The 19,748-nt window shown below is 54.2% G+C and overlaps 2 protein-coding genes across 7 annotated transcripts, besides 10 other annotated features; one reads left to right on the forward strand and one right to left on the reverse strand.

Moving 5' to 3' along the window:
* Positions 1-3,650: 3,650 nt before the first annotated feature.
* On the reverse strand, positions 3,651-14,945 carry ABHD8 (abhydrolase domain containing 8). The gene is made up of 5 exons (NM_024527.5): positions 14,762-14,945; positions 12,376-13,144; positions 6,195-6,365; positions 5,808-6,024; positions 3,651-4,351 (listed from the first exon to the last, which is right to left on the reverse strand). Exons 2-5 carry the CDS (start codon positions 13,134-13,136, stop codon positions 4,181-4,183), a joined length of 1,320 nt encoding a protein of 439 aa, NP_078803.4. The 5' UTR covers positions 13,137-13,144; positions 14,762-14,945; the 3' UTR covers positions 3,651-4,180.
* Positions 3,946-4,125: a silencer, noted in NCBI's record as "silent region_10335". NCBI's record gives its function as "represses an Ori minimal core promoter by ATAC-STARR-seq in GM12878 lymphoblastoid cells {active_cell/tissue: GM12878}" and the evidence as "EXISTENCE:reporter gene assay evidence [ECO:0000049][PMID:35858748]".
* Positions 4,093-18,363, forward strand: MRPL34 (mitochondrial ribosomal protein L34). Of its 6 annotated transcripts, NM_001400073.1 has the most exons (4): positions 4,093-4,374; positions 9,832-9,897; positions 17,351-17,477; positions 17,686-18,363. In NM_001400073.1, the coding sequence occupies exons 3-4, from the start codon at positions 17,413-17,415 to the stop codon at positions 17,897-17,899; spliced, it is 279 nt and encodes a 92-aa protein (NP_001387002.1). In that variant the 5' UTR covers positions 4,093-4,374; positions 9,832-9,897; positions 17,351-17,412; the 3' UTR covers positions 17,900-18,363. The 6 variants fall into 6 exon arrangements, with proteins under 6 accessions (NP_001387002.1, NP_001387001.1, NP_001369271.1 ...); NM_001400072.1 differs by lacking the exon at positions 9,832-9,897; NM_001382342.1 differs by lacking the exons at positions 4,093-4,374; positions 9,832-9,897 and adding an exon at positions 14,385-14,454.
* Positions 4,196-4,285: an enhancer, noted in NCBI's record as "active region_14263". NCBI's record gives its function as "activates an Ori minimal core promoter by ATAC-STARR-seq in GM12878 lymphoblastoid cells {active_cell/tissue: GM12878}" and the evidence as "EXISTENCE:reporter gene assay evidence [ECO:0000049][PMID:35858748]".
* Positions 5,425-5,973: an enhancer, noted in NCBI's record as "H3K27ac-H3K4me1 hESC enhancer chr19:17404714-17405262 (GRCh37/hg19 assembly coordinates)". NCBI's record gives its function as "activates a minimal SCP1, AML or CMV promoter by ChIP-STARR-seq in primed H9 embryonic stem cells {active_cell/tissue: H9 hESC(primed)}" and the evidence as "EXISTENCE:reporter gene assay evidence [ECO:0000049][PMID:30033119]".
* Positions 5,974-6,522: an enhancer, noted in NCBI's record as "H3K27ac-H3K4me1 hESC enhancer chr19:17405263-17405811 (GRCh37/hg19 assembly coordinates)". NCBI's record gives its function as "activates a minimal SCP1, AML or CMV promoter by ChIP-STARR-seq in primed H9 embryonic stem cells {active_cell/tissue: H9 hESC(primed)}" and the evidence as "EXISTENCE:reporter gene assay evidence [ECO:0000049][PMID:30033119]".
* Positions 12,481-12,981: an enhancer, noted in NCBI's record as "H3K4me1 hESC enhancer chr19:17411770-17412270 (GRCh37/hg19 assembly coordinates)". NCBI's record gives its function as "activates a minimal SCP1, AML or CMV promoter by ChIP-STARR-seq in naive and primed H9 embryonic stem cells {active_cell/tissue: H9 hESC(naive and primed)}" and the evidence as "EXISTENCE:reporter gene assay evidence [ECO:0000049][PMID:30033119]".
* Positions 12,982-13,482: an enhancer, noted in NCBI's record as "H3K4me1 hESC enhancer chr19:17412271-17412771 (GRCh37/hg19 assembly coordinates)". NCBI's record gives its function as "activates a minimal SCP1, AML or CMV promoter by ChIP-STARR-seq in naive and primed H9 embryonic stem cells {active_cell/tissue: H9 hESC(naive and primed)}" and the evidence as "EXISTENCE:reporter gene assay evidence [ECO:0000049][PMID:30033119]".
* Positions 13,840-14,134: a silencer, noted in NCBI's record as "tiled region #8409; K562 Repressive non-DNase unmatched - State 2:TssF". NCBI's record gives its function as "represses a minimal TATA promoter and a strong SV40 promoter by Sharpr-MPRA in K562 cells {active_cell/tissue: K562}" and the evidence as "EXISTENCE:reporter gene assay evidence [ECO:0000049][PMID:27701403]".
* Positions 14,518-15,067: a silencer, noted in NCBI's record as "silent region_10336". NCBI's record gives its function as "represses an Ori minimal core promoter by ATAC-STARR-seq in GM12878 lymphoblastoid cells {active_cell/tissue: GM12878}" and the evidence as "EXISTENCE:reporter gene assay evidence [ECO:0000049][PMID:35858748]".
* Positions 17,336-17,415: an enhancer, noted in NCBI's record as "active region_14264". NCBI's record gives its function as "activates an Ori minimal core promoter by ATAC-STARR-seq in GM12878 lymphoblastoid cells {active_cell/tissue: GM12878}" and the evidence as "EXISTENCE:reporter gene assay evidence [ECO:0000049][PMID:35858748]".
* Positions 17,646-17,705: a silencer, noted in NCBI's record as "silent region_10337". NCBI's record gives its function as "represses an Ori minimal core promoter by ATAC-STARR-seq in GM12878 lymphoblastoid cells {active_cell/tissue: GM12878}" and the evidence as "EXISTENCE:reporter gene assay evidence [ECO:0000049][PMID:35858748]".
* Positions 18,364-19,748: the final 1,385 nt, after the last annotated feature.

Raw genomic sequence — 19,748 nt, forward strand, 5'->3', positions numbered from 1 at the left:
GAAGATTGCTTGAGCCTGGGAGTTGGAGGCTTCAAGGAGCTACCATCACAGCACTGCACTCCAGCCTGGGCGATATCAAGATCCTGTCTCTTAAAAAAACTATAAAAATTTAAAAATAAGGTCATGTGAGCAAAGTGTGTGGCTCAGAGCCCAAAGTGTGTGGCAGTGCAGCCCAGGCGAGAACTTGCTGGAGGAAGGGGAGGTGTGGGGGCCCTCAAGGGGCCGCCTGTGTGATGAGGCGTGAGCAGGGCTGGGACCCTCCTCAGGATCATTGTGCAACCCCAGCCTCCCCTGTTGCTTCTGGGAACCTGTTTATCCACTATAAAATGGGATTATTGGCCGGGCTCGGTGGCTCACGCCTGTAATCCCAGCACTTTGGGAGGCCGAGGCAGGCAGATCACCTGAGTTCGGGAGTTCGAGACCAGCCTGACCAACATGGAGAAACCCCATCTCTATTAAAAATACAAAAATTAGCTGGGCGTGGTGGCGCATGCCTGTAATCTCAGCTACTTGGGAGGCTGAGGCAGGAGAATTGCTTGAACCCGGGAGGCGGAGGTTGCAGTGAGCCAAGATCAAGCCATTGCAGTCCAGCCTGGGTAACAAGAGCAAAACTCCGTCTCAAAAAAAGGGAGGGATCATTAATAATAACCCGGCAGGGCGTGGTGGCTCACGCCTGTAATCCCGGCACTTTGGGAGGCCGAGGCGGGTGGATCACCTGAGGTCAGGAGTTCAAGACCAGCCTGACCAACATGGTGAAACCCTGTCTCTACTACATACAAAACATGAGCCGGGTGTGGTGGTGAGCACCTGTGATTCCAGCTACTTGGGAGGCTGAGGCAGGAGAATCACTTGAACCCGGGAGGCGAAGGTTGCAGAAAACTGAGATCGCGCCACTGTACCCCAGCCTGGGCGACAGTGAGACTCCGTCTCAAATAATAATAATAATAATAATAATAATAATAATAATAATAATAATAATAATAAATAACCCGACTTCCAGCGATGCTATGCGACTTCAGACCATTCATGTGCAAAGGTCTTAAGTAAATACCAAGCCGCCATCCTGGTGAGATGTCAGCGGTCTGGTTTCGGGCGGGCGGGGGTCGGGGGGGGGTCGAGGGCATTTAAGCTTCTGGAAGTCGCTTCTGCAAAGGGCCCGGTGCATTTAGGGACTTGGGAGAGATCCGCTGCCTCATTGGTTTCAGGACCTGCCGGTCATCACGGCGGTTTAGCCAACCAGGTCCCCCAGGGGGCGGGCTGTGACCTGGGCCGAGTTTCCACCCACCTCGCCACTGCTTAGCCACCGGCTGCTCCTCGGGGAATGGCTGGTATTGTGATTAGGGGTCCAGTCTCTGGAGTGGGTTTGGGCTCGACCACTTGTAATCGAGCTGAAGAAACCGCTCTCTGAGCTTCACTTTCCTCCAGTGTAAAACAGGGGCCAGGCACCGTGGCTCACGCCTGTACTCCCAGAACTTTGGGAGGCCGAAGCGAGTGGATCACCTGAGGTCAGGAGTTCAAGATCAGCCTGGCCAACACAGTGAAACACTGTCTCTACTAAAAATACAAAAATTAGCCGGGCGCGGTGGCGGGTGTCTGTAATCTCAGCTACTCGGGAGGCTGAGGCAGGAGAATCGCTTGAACCCAGGAGGCTGAGGCTGCAGTGAACCGAGATTGTGCCACTGCACTCCAGCCTGGGTAACAGAGCAAGACACTGTCTCAGAAAAAAAAAAAAAAGTGTGAAACAGGGATGCCTCCCAGTTGCCAAATCTAATAATAAAGCCACAGGTGTTATGACACTGTGCCATCGCCCCAGAATACACAAACAGGACATTGGTAAAGAACCTAGAGCCCCCAGAAGAGATGGGATTTGTCTAACACAGGGTTTCCCAATCTTGGCCCTAATGACATTTGGGGTTGGCTTATTCTTTGCTGTGGGGTCTGTCCCTTGCATTTCAGGGTGATGAGCAGCGTTCCTGGCCTCCATCCACTAGAAGTCAGCAACACCCATGCACCCCCAAACATGGCGATCAAAAATGTCTCCAGAAGTTGCCAATGGACACAATTGCCCCCCTGGCTAAACTAAGGATGGAGCTCACAAACCGGTGGGGAAAGGACAGAACCGAGGGAAAGATTTCCTCCCTCCTCCTGTAATACACAGAAACCACAGATAGGACCAGATATACATGGACCAGAATAAAATGTAGGTGAGGTGCGGTGGATCACGCCTGTAACCCCAGCACTTTGGGAGGCCGAGGCGGGTGGATCACGAGGTCAGGAGTTCCAAGACCAGTCTGGCCAAGATGGTGAAACCCCGTCTCTACTAAAAATACAAAAATTAGCTGGGCGTAGTGGCAGGAGCCTGTAATCCCAGCTACTCCAGTGGCTGAGGCAGGAAAATTTCCTGAACCCGGGGGGCGGAGGTTGCAGTGAGCCGAGATCGTGCCACTGCACTCCAGCCTGGGCGACAGAGTGAGACTCTGTCTCAAAAAACAAACAAACAAACAAACAAAAACAAAACCAAAACCCAACTAAAAGACAGATTTGGTGGTTTCAAAAGAAAAGTCTTCTTGACAAAGGTGGCCCTAAACCAAGCTGAAAGATATAACACGGGAATAGTAAAAGGTCCTGACTTGCTGGGTGGGGTTGGATGAGTCGAATTCAATGAACCAGTGGGTGGCAGGCATTCAACACACAGCCTGGAAAACAGTGGGCACTCAATTATGGCAGCTCTAATTCCATGCAACACCCACTGATCTTCACCTAAACCTCGGTTGGATCTCTTCCGGCCAGGGAAGGGCTCATCTCGTTTTTTTTTGAGAAGGAGTATCGCCTTGTTGCGCAGGCTGGAGTGCAGTGGTACGATCTCAGCTGACCGCAACCTCCACTTCCTGGGTTCAAGCGATTCTCCTGCCTCAGGCTCCCCGAGTAGCTGGGACCACAGGCGCGTGCCACCATTCCTGGCTTGTCTTTGTTTTTTGTTGTTGTTGTTGTTGTTGTTTGTTTGTTTGTTTTAGATGGAGTCTCGCTCTGTCACCCAGGCTGGAGTGCAGTGGCACGATCTCGGCTCACTGTAATTTCCGCCTCCCGGGTTCACGCCATTCTTCTGCCACAGCCTCCCGAGTAGCTGGGACTACAGGCGCCCGCCACCACGCCCAGCTAATTTTTTGTATTTTTTACTAGAGACGGGGTTTCACTGTGTTAGCCAGGATGGTCTCGATCTCCTGACCTCGTGATCCCCCCACCTCTGCCTCCCAAAGTGCTGGGATTACAGGCGTGAACCACCGCGCCTGGCCTGTCTGCATTTTTAAATAGAGACGGGGTTTCACCATTTTGGCCAGGCTGTTCTCGAACTCCTGACCTCAGGCGATACTCCTCGGCCTCCCAAAGTGCTGGGATTACAGGCGTGAGTCACCACGTCCGGCCGGGGTCACCTCTTGATAAGTTGCCTCCTGCCCTGGGGGATACTGTCCAAGGAGCCTCAGCCTTCTGAGGTACGAGGGGAAATTCAGGAAGCTAACGTGGACACCAGACATTGTCGAAGTCGATCCTGAGCGCGAGGCACCAGCCTGAGCCCAGTCTGCAGATGGGAAAACTGAGGCTCCAGGCGGCGAACACCCTGCCCTGTGGTCACCCAGCACAGGTCCGGAGACTCCGATTGTCACTTCTGTTTATTGAGTTACAAGTTGAGATGTGCAGGTTCGGTGGCGCCAGCCCCCCCATCCCCCCCCCTTGGGCAAAAATAGCTCCCAGCGCCGAGGAATGGGGGGTAGGAAGGGTCTCGGATAACGGGATGGGGCCTCGAGGGTCCCTGTGGGGCTCGTGGGTCCCAGGATCAAGCACGGCTGACACGGAAGACAGCGGGGTGGGGGGCCTGCCTTGGCCGTGGCGTTGGGGGGAAGGTGAGGGAGAGCTTCTGTACAAGGTCATCTTCCGTGAGGGTCCCGGCTGCGGCCCCAAAACGCCGATGGGCCCCGCGGGACGGAAGCGGAGAGCGGAATGTCCGCTGGGCTCCCTCGGATGCCACGCCCCGCCCAGGCAGCCTGGGGGCGTCTCCCTGACCTGGCCCCGCCCACCGGAGCGAACGGCCCGCCCAGGTGGTCTGCGCTGCAGACCTGGCGCAGGCTCGGGCCTCCTCCTGCTGCGGCTGTGCTCACCAAGCGATGCCCCGCCGGCCCAGCGGCTACTTCTTGTCTTCTGGAGGCGCCGGCAGTGGCTCCGGTAGAGCCTTGGGCGAGGGCTCGGGCTCCCAGAGCAGGAATTCGTGGAGCAGCGTGTTGACCGTCTCAGGGCATTCCAGCATCACCATGTGGCTGCCCTCGTCGATGAGCTTCAGGAATGCCAGGAGCAGGATCTGCAGAAGACGCAGGGCTCAAGGTAGGCGGGGGCAAGAGGGTGGAGAGAGGCCAGGCTTCCCTGGGACTCCGCCATACACACATGGCCCACAGCATCCAAAAGTCCCTCCTCCCATCTACCCTGCATCTCTCCACTTCCACTCAAGGGGGAGCTGGAGGATGGCCTGTAGCCCTGCTGGAACCCAACTAGTATTCAGGCATCCAGCATTTATTAAGTGTCTACAGTATGCCAGGAGAAGGATTTTCTTCTTTTTTTCTTTTCTTTCTTTTTTTTTTTTTTTGAGACAGAGTCTTGCTCTGTCACCCAGGCTGGAGTGCAGTGGCGTAATCTCGGCTCACTCCAACCTCTGCCTCCCGGCTTCAAGCGATTCTCTTGCCTCAGCCTCCCAAGTAGCTGGGATTACAGGCACGCGCCACTACACCCGGCTAATTTTTTGTATTTTTAGTAGAGACGGGGTTTCGCCATGTTTGTCAGGCTGATCTCCAACTCCTGACCTCAGGCGATCTGCCCGCCTCGGTCTCCCAAAGTGCTGGGATTACAGGAGTGAGCCACCGCGCCCGGCCTGGAGGAGGATTTTGTCAACTTCAACTCTACCAACATTAGGAGCTGGATCATTCTTTGCTGGGGGGGCGGGGGTGGGCGGGGAAGGGGCGGGTAGCTGGGGTGGGGGCTGCTATCCTGTGCATTTGTAGGGTGTTGAGCAGCATCCCTGGCCTCCACCCACTAGATGCCAGTAGTACCCCCTCCCCCTCAGTCGTGACACCTAAAAATGTCTCCATGCATTTCCACGTGTTCCTTGGGGGCAGAATCCTCCTTAGTTAAGAACCACCAGTCCAGTTATACTTTAATGGTTTTTGTTTTTTTTTTTTTTTCTTTAAGAAACGGGGTCTTGCTCTGTCGCCCAGGCTGGAGTGCAGTGGTGCGAGCATGGCTCACCACAGCCTTGAACTCCTGGGTTCAAGCGATCCGCCCCACTCAGCCTCCCAAGTTGCAGCGATTATTGGCGTGAACCACCTCGCCGGGCTAGTATCCAGGGCTATTCTAAGTGCTAAGGATCCCCAGACCCTTTCTAATCTGAACTCGCTAATTAGAGTTTCTAATCTAAAGATCCCCTGGTGCCGGTCTTCTAGAATTATATAGGTCACCGGTCTCATACAAATCCTCCGCTGTGAGGAGAGCCTTCTTACAGCGGTGGGGACAGTGCGTAATTGCTAACACCTGTCCAGGGCAGCCCTGCTTTCTAGATTCTACTTCTGATGCTAGACCTAATGCTCCTGTTTGCCTGGGGTCAGAACAAGATACAGCAACTAGAGGCCACGCCCACCCGGCAGCCACGCCCCCTCGGGAAGAAAGCACGCCCACCAAGCGCTACCACGCCCCCCGCAGAGGCCACGCCCCTCCCGGGCAGCACCCTGGGGATTTGTAGCTGTGGCGCCCCAGGTGCCCGCCTCTACCTCGGCCATGCGCTGGTCTTCCTCCACCGGCACAAACTTATCGTGCATGCCGTGGACAAGCAGGACGGGCACGGTGAGCTCGGCGTGGTAGACCTCGTCGCCCTCGGGCCAGTACTGGCCGCTCATCATGGCCCGGAGTACGAAGGATGACACGTTGAAAGCGTTGCCCTCCTTTAACAGCTGCTTCTCCTTGGCTCCTTGGCGGGCGAAGCCGGCCCTGGTGGTGGTGGAGGCACCGCTAGAGCCCCTTATGCCAGCCCGACTGCCGTGGGGTGCCCCCGATGCCAGCCCTAGTCCCAGCGGTACAGTCCCCCCTCCCATCCAACTCGAGCAGATGCCTGGGTTCGCCAGGGCCAGGATCACGGTCTTTGGGGTGGGGACACTCACTTGAGGAAGCTCCAGGCCAGGCAGGGCGACAAGCAGTGCAGGACGCAGGTGGGCATGTTGAAGATTGAGCAGAAGCTGGGCTCCAGCGCCGTAGGGCCCCCGCCATTGATCATGATCACCTTGTGCACTAGGTCTGGGTACTCATGTGCCAGGAATGTGCAGAAAGAGACACTGCCCGGAACGGGTGGGGTGATAGGAGGATTGAAGGGAGGCGGTCAGCAGGATACAAGCAGTGACCATTTTGTTTTGCTTTGTTTTTGTTTTTGTTTGAGACAGTTTTACTCTGTCCCCCAGGCTGGAATGCAGTGGCTCCATCTTGGCTCACTGCAACCTCTGCCTCCCAGGTTCAAGCGATTCTCCTGCCTCAGTCTCCCGAGTAGCTGAGATTGCAGGCGCACACCACCACACCCAGGTAATTTTTTTTTTTTTTTTTTTTTTTTTTGAGACGGAGTCTCGCTCTGTCGCCCAGGCCGGACTGCGGACTGCAGTGGCGCAATCTCGGCTCACTGCAAGCTCCGCTTCCCGGGTTCACGCCATTCTCCTGCCTCAGCCTCCCGAGTAGCTGGGACTACAGGCGCCCGCCACCGCGCCCGGCTAATTTTTTGTATTTTTAGTAGAGATGGGGTTTCACCATGTTGGTCGGGCTGGTCTCAAATTCCTGACCTCAAGTGATCCATCCGCCTCGGCCTCCCAAAGTGCTGGGATTACAGGCCTGAGCCACTGCGCCTGGCCTGGTTTGTTTTTGTTTTTGAGATGGAGTCTCATTCTGTTGCCCAGGTTGGAGTACAGTGATGCAATCTCAGCTCACTGCAACCTCTGCCTCCTGGGTTCAACTGATTCTCCTTCCTCAGCCTCCCGAGTAGCTGGGAGTACAGGCATGCACCACCACACCTGGCTAATTTTTGTATTTTTTAGTAGACACAGGGTTTCAGCATGTTGCTCAGGCTGGTCGAGAACTCCTGACCTCAAGTGATCCACCCACCTTGGCTTCCCAAAGTGCGGGGATTACAGGCATGAGCCACTGGGCTGGCCTGTTTTGTTTTTGTTTTTGAGACAAGGTTTCGCTGTCGCCTAGGCTGGAGTGGTGCGGTGGCGTAATCATAGCTCCCTGCAGCCTTGACTTCCTGGGCTCAAGAGATCCTCCCACCTCAGCCTTCTGAATAGCTGGGACTACAGGCATGTGCCACCATGCTCAGCTAATTTTTAAAAATTTTTTTATAAAGACAGGGTCTCCTTATGTTGCCCAGGCTGGTCTTGAACTCCTGGGCTCAAGTGATCCTCTGGCCTTAACCTCCCAAAGTGCTGGGATTATAGGCGTGAGCCGTGACACCCGGCCTGGTGAGGGGGTTCATGTCCTCCCCCTACCCAGAAGGCAGGTCCTTGGAAGCCAAGATTCTTCCCCTGGGGTCCATGGACACCTGAAGGGGTGAGGGATGAGTGCGGCCTCTCAAATACCGTGAAAGTGTGAGTTTGAGTGTTGAGGATGGAACTTATTTTGAAGAGAGAATCTGGATCCAGAAGTTTCACCAGACTTTTTATTTTAATTGTTTAAAATTTTTGTAGAGATGGGGGTCTCACTATGTTGCCCAGGCTGGTCTTGAACTTCTGGGCTCAAGTGATCCTTCCACCTTGGCCTTCCAAAGTGTTAAGATTATAGATATGAGCCACTGTGCCCGGCCCTCATCAGATTCTTCAAGCCACCATGACCCAAAAGCGGTAAGAATTACTCATCAGCAAGTGGTAGGAAAGCAATCTGATTAAACAAATGCTTCCGGCTGCCCAGGGGAGGTCACTGTTTCCTACTATCCCTTCCCTTTCAGGATGTTCTGCCACCTGCCTCTGGGCATGACATATCTGTCTTCCTTATACAAGATGGAAGGCCTGAGAAGCCCCCAAAGCTGAGCTCCTCATTCCTACAAAAGCAGGGGTCAACAAACTATGTACGGCCTGTGGGCTAGTCATTTGCTTTTTTAAATACAGTTTACACTTTTGGAGATTTGAAAAATGTTTCCTAAATAAGGTTTTTTTTTTTTTTTTTGAGATGGAGTCCTGCTCTGTTGCCCACGCTGGAGCACAGTGGCGCGATCTCGGCTCACTGCAACCTCCGCCTCCCGGGTTCAAGTGATTCTCCTGTCTCAGCCTCCCGAGTAGCTGGGATTACAGGCATCTGCCATTATGCCCGGCTAATTTTTGTATTTTTAGTAGAGACGGGGTTTCACCGTGTTAGTCAGGCTGGTCTTGAACTCCCGACCTCAGGTGATCTGCCCACCTTGGCCTCCCAAAGTGCTGGGATTAGAGGCGTGAGCCACCGTGCCTGGCCAAAAAATGTTTCCTAAATAAAGTTTTATCAGAAGTTCCAACAGTGACTGTATGGCCTGCAAACCTAAAATATTCGCTATCCGATCCTTTAAGGAAATGTTTGCCAGCCCCTGCTGTAATGAGGAAAGGATACAGACAGGAGTCAGGCAGACCTGATTGTGTCAGGGACTTCCTGTATGCCTTTGGGCAGGTTGCTTCACCTCTCTGAGCTTCAGCCTCCACATTCCTGAAGTTGTAAATGTGCTGACCTAATAGCACTGTTATGGGGTCATGGGAACTATTGTAGGTGGGTGTTTTTTTTGTTTTTTTGTTTTTTTCTCGAGACAGAGTCTTGCTCTGTCACTCAGGCTGGAGTGCAATGGTGCGATCTCGGCTCACTGCAACCCCCACCTCATGGGTTCGAATGATTATCCTGCCTCAGCCTCCCAAGTAGCTGGGATTATAGGCACCTGCAACCATACCCAGCTACTTTTTGTATTTTTATTAGAGACGGGGTTTCACCATTTTGGCCAGGCTGGTCTTGAACTCCTGACCTTGTGATCCGCCTGCCTCGGCCTCCAAAAGTTCTGGGATTACAGGTGTGAACCACTGTGCCCAGCAGGTGGGTGCTCATTTAATTAGAGGAATCATTTCTCATAAGCATCAACTTTTGAGTATGTTATATAAAGAAATATAAACAAATAAGAGCTGTTACCTCTCAGTCTAGATTCCTTTCTTTTAGATACTTATGTAACTTCTTTGTTTTCTTTTCTTTTTTTTTTTTTTTTACTTTTTAGTTTTTTGTAGAGATGAGATCTTGCTTATGTTGCCCAGGTTGGTCTTGAACTCCTCAGCTATAGCAGTCCTCCCACCTCAGCTTCCCAAAGTGTTGGGATTATAGGTGTAAGCCACCACACCTGGCCACTTATTTATTTTTCTTTTTTCTTTTTTTTTTTTTTTGAGATGGAGTCTCACTCTGTCACCCAGGCTGGAGTGCAGTGGCACAATCTCGGCTCACTGCAAGCTCCACCTCCTGGGTGCACGCCATTCTCCTGCCTCAGCCTCCTGAGTAGCTGGGACTACAGGCGCCTGCCACCATGCCTGGCTAATTTTTTTTTGTATTTTTTAGTAGAGACGGGGTTTCACCGTGTTAGCCAGGATGGTCTTGATCTCCTGACCTCCTGATCCGCCCGCCTCGGCCTCCCAAATTGCTGGGATTACAGGTGTGAGCCACCACGCCTGGCCTTTTTTTCTTGTCTAATTGCATAGGCTAGAATCTCTAAAACAGTGGTGCTCAACTTGCCTGGCTGTTCAATCTTGCCTTTCTTCCTGGATAAAGGAGAGAATGAGGCCACTTGGTAGTGGTCAAGCCCTGGGGACCAAGCCTTCCATGGAGGGGTTCTTGGTAAGTTTTAGGTTGTATTACCTGCCCTTTAAGCAGGAGTGAATTACAGTAACCCATGCCTTTGTAAATGCCTAGAATTTACAGGATTCCGATGAGCGCTTCCTGAATGCACAGTGTTCTCCAGGGCAGTTGATTTTTTAACTTAGTCTAAGGCAGTGGTTCTCAGCTGGGGGTAATTCTGCCCACCAGGGCACGCTTGGCAACTACTGAAGACATTTTTGACTGTCATGATCAACACTAGATTGTGTAGTTGCATCCAGTGGGCAGAAGCCAGGGATGCTACTAAACATCCTATAGCCCCTCACAGAAAAAAAATAACCTGGCCAAACACGATAGTGCTGGGATTGAACAACACTGCTTTTTTTTTTTTTTTTTTTTTTTTGGGCAGAGTCTCACTCTGTTGCTCAGGCTGGAGTGCAGTGGTGTGATCTTGGCTCACTGCAACCTCTGCCTCCCAGGTTCAAGTGATTCTCCTGCCTCACACCCCCGAGTAGCTGGGATTACAGGCACACACCATCATGCCTGGTTAATTTTTTGTACTTTTAGTAGAGATGGGGTTTCACCATGTTGGCCAAACTGGTGTTGAACTCCTGACCTCAAGTGATCTGCCTGCTTTGGCTTCCTAAAGTGCTAGGATTACAGGCGTAAGCCACTGCACCTGGCCTGAGCAACACTGCTTTAGAACAATGTGAAACAATATCAGTGATGACGGAAATCCCTGTCTGATTACATATGCTAATGGGAGTTTTCAGCCTGGTATAGCGGCTCATGCCTGTTACCCCACCACATCGGGAGGCCAAGGAGGGAGGATGGCTTGAGCCCAGGAGTTCAAGACCAGCCTGGGCAACATAATGAGACCCCCCCCCCATTCTCTATATAATTTTTTTTTGAACTTGAAAATTGGCCTGGTGCGTTGGCTCACGCCTGTAATCCCAGCGCTTTGGGAGGCCGAGGAGGGCGAATCACGAGGTCAGGAGATCGAGACCATCCTGGCTAACACGGTGAAACCCCGTCTGTACTAAAAAGACAAAAAATTAGCCAGGCATGGTAGCGGGTGCCTGTAGTCCCAGCTACTAGGGAGGCTGAGGCAGGAGAATGGCATGAACCTGGGAGGTGGAGCTTGCAGTGAGCCAGGATCACGCCACTGCACTCCAGCCTGGGGGACAGAGTGAGACTCCATCTCAAAAAAAAAAAAAAAAAAAAAAATTAAGGCTGAGCACAATGACTCACACCTGTAGTCCTAGCACTTTGGGAGGCTGAGGTGCAAGGATCACTTGAGCCCAGTAGTTAAAGAACATCTTGGGCAACATAGTGAGATGCCATCTCTATTTAAAAGAAAAAAAAATTTTAAAAATGTAAAAATTAAATTGAAAAATGGGATTTTTTTCAAGGAGAAAAATTAGGATTTTTGTTTGCTTTGTTTTGTTTTAGGAGATAAGGTTTTGCCATGTTGTCCAAACTCATCTCCAATGATCCATCCACAAAGTGCTGGGATTACAAATGTGCACCACCGCGCGTGGTGGCCCCTTTTTTTTTTTTCATGACGGAGTCTCCTTCTGTCGCCCAGGCTGGAGTGCAGTGGCACAATATGATCTTGGCTCACTGCAAGCTCCGTCTCCCGTGCTCATGCCATTCTCCTGCCTCAGCCTCCCGAGTAGCTGGGACTATAGGTGCCCACCACCACACCCAGCTAATTTTTTGTATTTTTAGTAGAGACAGGGTTTCACCGTGTTAGCCAGGATGGTCTCAATCTTCTGACCTCGTGATCCGCCCGCCTCAGCCTCCCAAAGTGCTGGGATTACAGGCGTGAGCCACCGCGCCCGGATTTTTTTTTCTTTTTTAAAGAGCGACAGGTTCTTGCCATGCTGCCCAGGCTGGAGTGCAGTGGTGTGATCACAGTTCACTGCAGCCTCGACCTCCCAGACTCAAGCAATCTCCTGCCTCAGCCCTTAAGTAGGTGGAACTATATGCGTGCACCTCCTCACCTAGCTAATGTTTGTACTTTTTGTAGAGCTAGGGGGTTCTCCCTATGTTGCCCAGGCTGGTCTCAAACTCCTTGCCTCAAGATATCCTCCCGCCTTGGCCCCCGAAAGCACTGGGATTACAGGTGTCAGTGGCATCTCAGAGTCTCCCTCTGTCGCCCAGGCTGGAGTGCAGTGACACAATCTCGGCTCACTGCAACCTCCACCTCCTCGGTTCAAGTGATTCCTCTGCCTCAGCCTCCCGAGTAGCTGGGACTACAGGCGCGTGCCACCACGTCTGGCTAATTTTTGTATTTTTGGTAGAGACGGGGTTTCACCACCTTGGCCAGACTGTTCCCGAACTCCCAACCTCAGGTGATCCGCCTGCCTCGGCCTCCCAAAGTGCTGGGATTACAGGCGTGAGCCACGGGGCTCAGCCAAAAACTCAGTATTTTGTGACTGTAGTCCCTGCTGACCCCATCCCTCACCCCCACCCCACATGCCAGGGTTCACTTACCCGTAGGAATGGCCAATGAGCACATTTCGCTTCTTGGCATAGCGCTTGAAGATTGCTCGCATGTCCTCAGCCAGCGCATAGAAGGTGTAGGCTGCGGCCACCTGGGGCGCAGAGCTGGCCCCGTGGCCGGCCAGGTCAGGAGCCACCACCTCATAGCCTAGGCGCACAAAGAAGTCCAGCTGCTCCTTCCAGATGGCCAGGGAACCGCCGACACCATGGATGAAAAAGAGCACCACGTCGGCCTGGGCGCCTTTGCAGCTAGTGATGCGCTTCTCACAGTCAATATGGATGGTCCTCTTGGGGCGCCTGGCTCGCCGCCGCCGCCCACCACTGCCACTGCCGCTGCCGCTGCCTGCGCTGCCGGGGGCCAAGCGGCCATCGCTGCCCGCCGGATCTGCCAGCTCCACCTCCAGGGCGGCCGGCGGCTCCCCAGAGCCATTCTGCCCGTGTAGGAGGTCGGCTCGAGGGGCTCGGCCCAGGTTTTCCACCAGCAACCGCCCATTGCGGTACACGGTGATCCGGCGCTGACAGCGGACCAAGCCGGAGAGGTCCCCCTGGGCTGCATCCGAGGATGCGGATGATGGTGGAGGTGGGGCAGCGGCTGGGGCGGGTCCTGCATGCTTCACCCGCAGCACGCGGCCGGGCTTGACCTCTACAAAGGTGTAGCCATCGCTGGACTCGACGCTCTCCAGTGGCCCCACGGCGTTGGGGGGCGTGCCCAGCAGGCAACAGAAGATACCGTCGGTCACCCCGGTCAGCATGGTGTGTCCTGTGAGTGAGGACAGCAGCCAGTTCAGGTGCTGTCTCAATGAGAACCCTGCACCGTGCAGCAGGCACTCCCTGAGCCTTGGGAGAACTGTTTTAGACTCCAGTTTGGGGAGCGCCAGATCAAGTGAGCCACGGCACTGAGATTTTTTTGTTTGTGTGTGTGTGTGTGTGTGTGTGTGTGTGTGTTTTTGAGACAGTCTCGCTTTGTCATCCAGGCTGGAGGGCAGTGGCCGGATTTCGGCTTACTGCAACCTCCCCCTCCTGGGTTCAAGCGATTCTCTTGCCTCAGCCTCCTGAGTAGCTGGGATTATAGGCAGGTGCCACCATGTCTAGCTAATTTTTGTATTTTTTGTAGAGATGGGGTTTCACCATGTTGGCCAGGCTGGTCTTGAACTCCTGACCTCAAATTTTCCTCCTGCTTCGGCCTCCCAAAGTGCTGGGATTATAGGTGTGAGCCACCGTGCACTGACATGTTTTGTCTGAGCAGTGCCTTTGTGGTAGTTACCCTCCTGGGTCACCCTAGTCTATCCTCAGAGAGAAAGACTTGGCTATGGCTTACCCCACAGGGTGTCCACAGGGAAGGTGGTGGCGTCTTGTGTGGGGATGTTCCTGGAGAAGGGGACATTGTGGCAAATGTGGACCAGCCGGAAGACACCCCCTCCCCCCAGCTGGAGTTTATACCATTTATGGCCTCCTAACTCATTCATTCAGGTATACACTAACTCATCCATTCAGGTATACACTAACTCATTCATTCAGGTATACACTAACTCACTAACTCATCCAGGTATGCACTCACTAACTCACATATCCCCAGGGCCTCCTAAGGCATCTAAAATATGCAAATCTTTGGTGAGCCCCCAGTGAGGCTCCTGGCTCTGAATTTGACTCCTGAAAGGTGAGGCCCTAGGAGAGGGGGATGGGGACTGAGCCACAGAAAGCCTTGCTCAGCTCCCCTAGACCGGGGTGAGCCGGGGTCTGTTTCATAGAGGGCCAAGCTGAGGCCCAGACACTCTGAGAGGAAGCTAGACTCTGAACTTCCTCCTTGGCACCCTGGATTCTGGGGATCTGCTATACAAGTCCCCAGAGGTGGCGAAGAGGATGGGAGAGGCAGGGCCCTGGCTGGGGGCCTCCAAGCCTCCATCCCACTCCTTGGGCCACCCCCGCCCCCGTGTCCATGGCAACCACAGGCGGTTACATAACCTAAGGGGGGGATACCCGAGCAGTGCACCCCCATTGTCGAGGTGTCTAGGGCCTGGAGATGGGACCAGCTGCCTGCCTGCCCCCTACCCCAGGTTGGGCGCCGCTAAGGTAACGCACGCCCGAGACTGAGCCGCAGTGGCCCCAGACATACTGGAGGGGAAGCAGGCCATGCCCCCCACCTCGAGTGGGGCCCTAATCCCGGATTGTGGAGGGCAACGCACAGGCGCCACCCCAGCCCCGCTTCCCCGCCCCCGGCCCCCGCCTTCCAGGTGTTCGTCATCCCTGCAGCGGGGTCGAGCCCACTGGGGCTCCGTGGCTTCCTACGAGCCCAAACGCGGGGTTGGTGGACACCACTCCTCCGAAGTGGAGGCCCCGGGGCTTCGATCTCTCCTTTTGGGGCCCGTTCCCCGCTCACCTCATCGAGGGCCGCGGGGCCCGGGTCGGGGCGGAGGGGTCCCAGGCGGAGAAGCCAGCGTCCGCCTGCTGGCGCCGTTTACATGGTGGCGCGGGGTCAGGCCGGGTGCGTCTACGCGGGCGGGCACCTGCCCCTGGCGGTCAGCGCAGGGGCATCCCGCGGCCGCCGAAACAGCCGGCCCTTTAAGTTCCTCCCCCGAGTAGGCGGAGCCACGTGCCGACGGGCGGGCACTTCGGCCTATCGCAGCTGCGGACTGACCTGGCCTAGTTAGGAGCCCAATGAGAGGCGGCAATTCCGTAGTGGAGGCGGGCTCTGGGAGCAACGGCCCCGCCCCTTTTGGGGGTTCACCGAGGTTGGGGGAGGGATGGGGCCTGGCTCAAGGCGGAGAAGGGGGTTGCAGTCTAGGGTCTGCGGGACGCCTGGGAGTGTGCGGCCGGGGCCCTCTCTCTGCAAATGGGTCTCCCAAGCCCTTGCCCCCCAGCCCCTGCCTCCCAATTGCCCTGTTCCTCTCCAAACGAGGCCCCCATACTCTTCTCTCTGTATTGACCTTTCCATTCTAGAAGCAGAGACTCCAAGATCTTTTTCCAATCTCCGGTGGGGAAACTGAGGCTCATAAAGGGCACAAGAGCATAAATCAAGCAAGGAGCAAAGCTGGGACTTGAACCCAAGGCTGTGTGATTCCAAACCCTGGGAACCATTATTTGCTAACCTCCCCCCTACGCCCCCCCCTTTTCTTTTGGTAGGGACGAGGTCTCGCTATCTTGCCCAGACTGGTCTCGAACTCTGGGCATCAAGCAATCCTCTCGTCTACGGCCTCCCAAAGGGCTGAGATCACTGGCGTGAGCCATCGTGACGGGCTTCTCTAAAGCTTTCAAGGAAAGTCTTGGAGCTGTGGGTAATTAGAGAGTTTGAATTTCATAATCAGCCGATTTAACCCATGGCTGCCATGGTTCTGAGAAGGGCTGATAGCAAGAGGCAGGCATCCCAGCTCTGTGGTACCGGCGGGGCCATGGTAGGCCCTCAGGAGAGCTCAGGTCTCAAATCCAGCCTCTGCCCTTTGCTGATGTGTGACCTCGGGCAAGTTACTTCACTTTCCTGAGCCTCCGTTTATTTCTCTATGAAATTAATCCTCTCATAAGTTTGCTACGCAGGTAAAGCACTCATCATAGTGTCGTGCATATAACAAATGCTCCATATATTATGGGCATTATTATAGTGGTGATGTTTTGCTAAACGATGCTACAGGTAGGATGGGCTTCGGAGGACGAGGGGTTAAATGCTCCTTGCTGCTTGGCCACTCACATCCCCTGGAATTTGCTGCCAGAGCTGGATTCCGTCCAGACACCTACTCTTGCCCACTAAGGGCACTTCTGGGAGACTATACAGTTTATTCATTTAGCAAACACCTCTCTGCATGAACCCCAAGCTGGCACTTGTAGGGATACAGCCCCAGGCCCCTGGCCCTTGAGGAGCCCTTGAACTTGGGGGAGAGTCAAGGGAAAGCAGTCGGGCCAGAAGAATGGACAGCGGTTGAGAGAAGACGACTCCTTTTTTTTTTGAGAAAGGATCTCACTCCGTTGCCCAGGCTGCAGTGCATTGGCGCTATCATTGCTCACTACAGCCTGGATCTCCTGGGTTCAGGGAATCCTCCCACCTCACCTTCAAGTACTTGAGACTATAGGTGGTTGCTACCATGTCCCCAGGCTGGTCTCAAACTCCTGGCCCCAAGGGATCCTCCCTCCTCAGCCTCCCAAAATGCTGGAATTACAGGCATGAGCCACACCTCACTCAGCCCTTGGAGAGGAAAGGATTTTTAAAGGGCGGATAGGGGAACACCAGGCAGAGAGGAGAGTGTGGCTGAAATGTAAGATGGTGTGTGTAGAGGGTTTTGCATGCCTGATGGAAGGGCTGAGCAGGTTTTACCTGGGGAAATGGGGAGCCAAGGATAGTGTGTGAGTAGGGGAGGGGTTCAGATCTGAGTATCAGAAAATTTTTCTTCCTTTTTTTTTTTTTTTTTTTTGGTTCTAACAACAGAGGAGAATTCTTCTAGGGCCCAAAATGGGGGCAAGATTGCCAAAGACAAGCTTGCAATCCCTGAGTTTACAGATTGAGAAAGCCCAGAGTGGCGCAGGGACCACCCCAAGGACACGCAGCGAGCTTGAACTCAGGCCTCCTCGGCTTCCTGCCAAGAGGCGGAGACTTGGCTGCAGCCAGGACAAGCTGCCAGCCAGCTGTGTGCCATCTGCCCAGCTCCCGCTGGGGGCGGGAAGACCAACCAGCCGCTTCCTGCAGCTGCCACCAGCTGCGCCCGGCCACCGCGGGGCACCCTCTGCCGGTCAATAGGAGAGAGAACTACAGCTCAGCTGCCAGCTGACCGCGGGAGATAATGCCTTGTGCGCACGCGCTTGCTCAGAAGGCGCCGTTCGCCGGCTACCTGTTGGTGTGTATGCAGAGCATCCCTGTGCCCCGCGGATATAGACTGGCGCGCCTCTGTTGCGCAGGCGCAGAACTACAACTTCAGGGTTTTCCCCAACGGCCTCTTTTTTGCACGTTAGGAGAAACTACATTTCCCATAATCCTTTGTTCCAGGGCTGGAGCGGCTCTGGGCTCCGGAATCGCCCGCAGCCGGTACTGCGGGACCCACTGCGGATATGGCTGTCTTGGCTGGATCCCTGTTGGGCCCCACGAGTAGGTCGGCAGCGTTGCTGGGTGGCAGGTAAGTCCTCAGGGGGACCCTTCCCCAAATCAGGGAATAAGGGCGGCTTCGGAGGCTGGCGCCACTCTTCACTGCCCGCGTGACCTGCCAGTGCCTTGCGCATTTTGCAGCCAGGCTCTGTCTCCGGGAGCCGAGGCTCAGAGAGGTTGAGCGCCAAGGTCACCCAGCGCCCCGTCTGACCTTTCTCGCCGTCCCTCTACCCACGCAGGTGGCTCCAGCCCCGGGCCTGGCTGGGGTTCCCAGACGCCTGGGGCCTCCCCACCCCGCAGCAGGCCCGGGGCAAGGCTCGCGGGAATGAGTATCAGCCGAGCAACATCAAACGCAAGAACAAGCACGGCTGGGTCCGGCGCCTGAGCACGCCGGCCGGCGTGCAGGTCATCCTTCGCCGAATGCTCAAGGGCCGCAAGTCGCTGAGCCATTGAGGATCGCGACGCAGTCGGCGGGACCCTCATGGAAGCATCGCCCTCGCCTCGGACCTTGCCTGGCGCTATTTTTGCAGGGAGCTGGGGAGCAGGAACGCCTCGGACCTGAGTGCTCTCCATATTGTGGGGTTGAAGTCTGGATGGGAGCTTGCCAAGTCCCTTTTTAGGCTTTTTAATTAGGAAGCATTTCGAACCTGCGCAACAGACCAAAGAACAGTACAAAGAACATCCGTGTACCCAGTACCCTGACTACCGACTACCTACAACCCGTCCCTGCCCCATCCTGAGTTCTTTTGAAGCTGATCTCAGGCATCGGATTATTTCTTCTGTAAATATTTCAGAATGTATCTCTCCAAGATGAGAGCTCATTAAAAGACAATTACAAAGCTTATCACATCCAAAAGAATTATCAATAATTTTGAAATATTATTAAACGTGTAATAAATGTTCAAAGTTCCACTTGCCTTATATGTGTCATAACTCTTTTTTTTTTTTGAGACAGTTTCCCTTTTGTTGCCCAGGTTGGAGTGCAATGGGGGGATCTCGGCTCATTAAAACCTCCGCCTTGCGGGTTCAAGCGATTCTCCTGCCTCACCCTCCCGAGTAGCTGGGATTACAGGCATGCGCCACCACGCCCGGCTAATTTTGTATTTTTAGTAGAGATGGGGTTTCTCCATGTTGGTCAGGCTGGTCTCGAGCTCCCGACCTCAGGTGATCCGCCCTCCTCTGCCTCCCAAAGTGCTGGGATTACAGGCATGAACCACTGCGCTCTGTCCCCCAGGCTGGAGTGCAGTGGCACGATCTCGGCTCACTGCAAACTCCCTCTCCTGGGTTCAAGCAATCTCCTGCCTCAGCCTCCCGAATAGCTGGGATTATAGGCGCCCACCACCACACCCGGCTAATTTTTGTATTTTTAGTAGAGACGGGGTTTCAACCATGTTGGCCAGGCTGGTCTCGAACTCCTGACCTCAGGTGATCTGCCTGCCTCGGCCTCCCAAAGTGCTGGGATTACAGGTGTGAGCCGTCATGCCCAGCCTGTGTCATAAATTTTATAGGTCTGGGAAGACTGGTGGAAAACTGTGTGTGTGTGCGGGGGGGTGTTTGTTTTTGAAACAGGGTCTCGCTCTGTCACCCAGGCTGGAGTGCAGTTGTCGGATCCCTGCTTACTGCAACCTCTGCCTCCTGGGTTCAAGCAATTCTGGTGCCTCAGCCTCCCAAGTAGCTGGGATTACAGGTGCATGCCACCACGCCCAGCTAATTTATGTATTTTTAGTAGAGGGGAGTTTCACCATGTTGACCAGGCTGGTCTTGAACTCCAGCCCATAAGGAGTTTGAATCTTCCACTTGTCCCTTGGGGATGTTTGATTTTGAGCAAGAATTTAACACTGTGAGGTGCATTTGTCGCCTATAAAATGCAGTGCTGGTTTCTCCTCTGCTCTGTTGCTGTTGGAGTAATAATACTTAGTAGCTTCCACTTAGCAACTTCACTGTGCAATTGCTGTGTGCTGGGTGCCCATTCTTTGCCCTGGAAGTCAGGAAGGCAGTTTGGACACAGAGGTGTCAGGGCTGGGAGGGGGATTGTGAGGGCTGTAGGACTTCAGGGAAGGTACCTGACTTGCCTTTTTGAAGAATGCAGTCAGGGAAGTCTTGGAGGAAATGGCAAGGTCTGGGAGAGCCCAGACATAGAAGGAATTGGTTAGAGGTGAGGACACAGGTGGGCAATGAAGACCGCAGGTGCCCATAAATGGGGCCAAGGAGGTGGGATTGAATACTAGGGAGTTACGGGAGGTGGTTGAGCAAGACGGTGTCGAGGAGGAGCTAGGGAGTGTTATGGTTCTTATCTTCTAGG

This window comes from Homo sapiens, chromosome 19, assembly GCF_000001405.40.
Source record: "Homo sapiens chromosome 19, GRCh38.p14 Primary Assembly".
Lineage (NCBI taxonomy): Eukaryota > Metazoa > Chordata > Mammalia > Primates > Hominidae > Homo > Homo sapiens.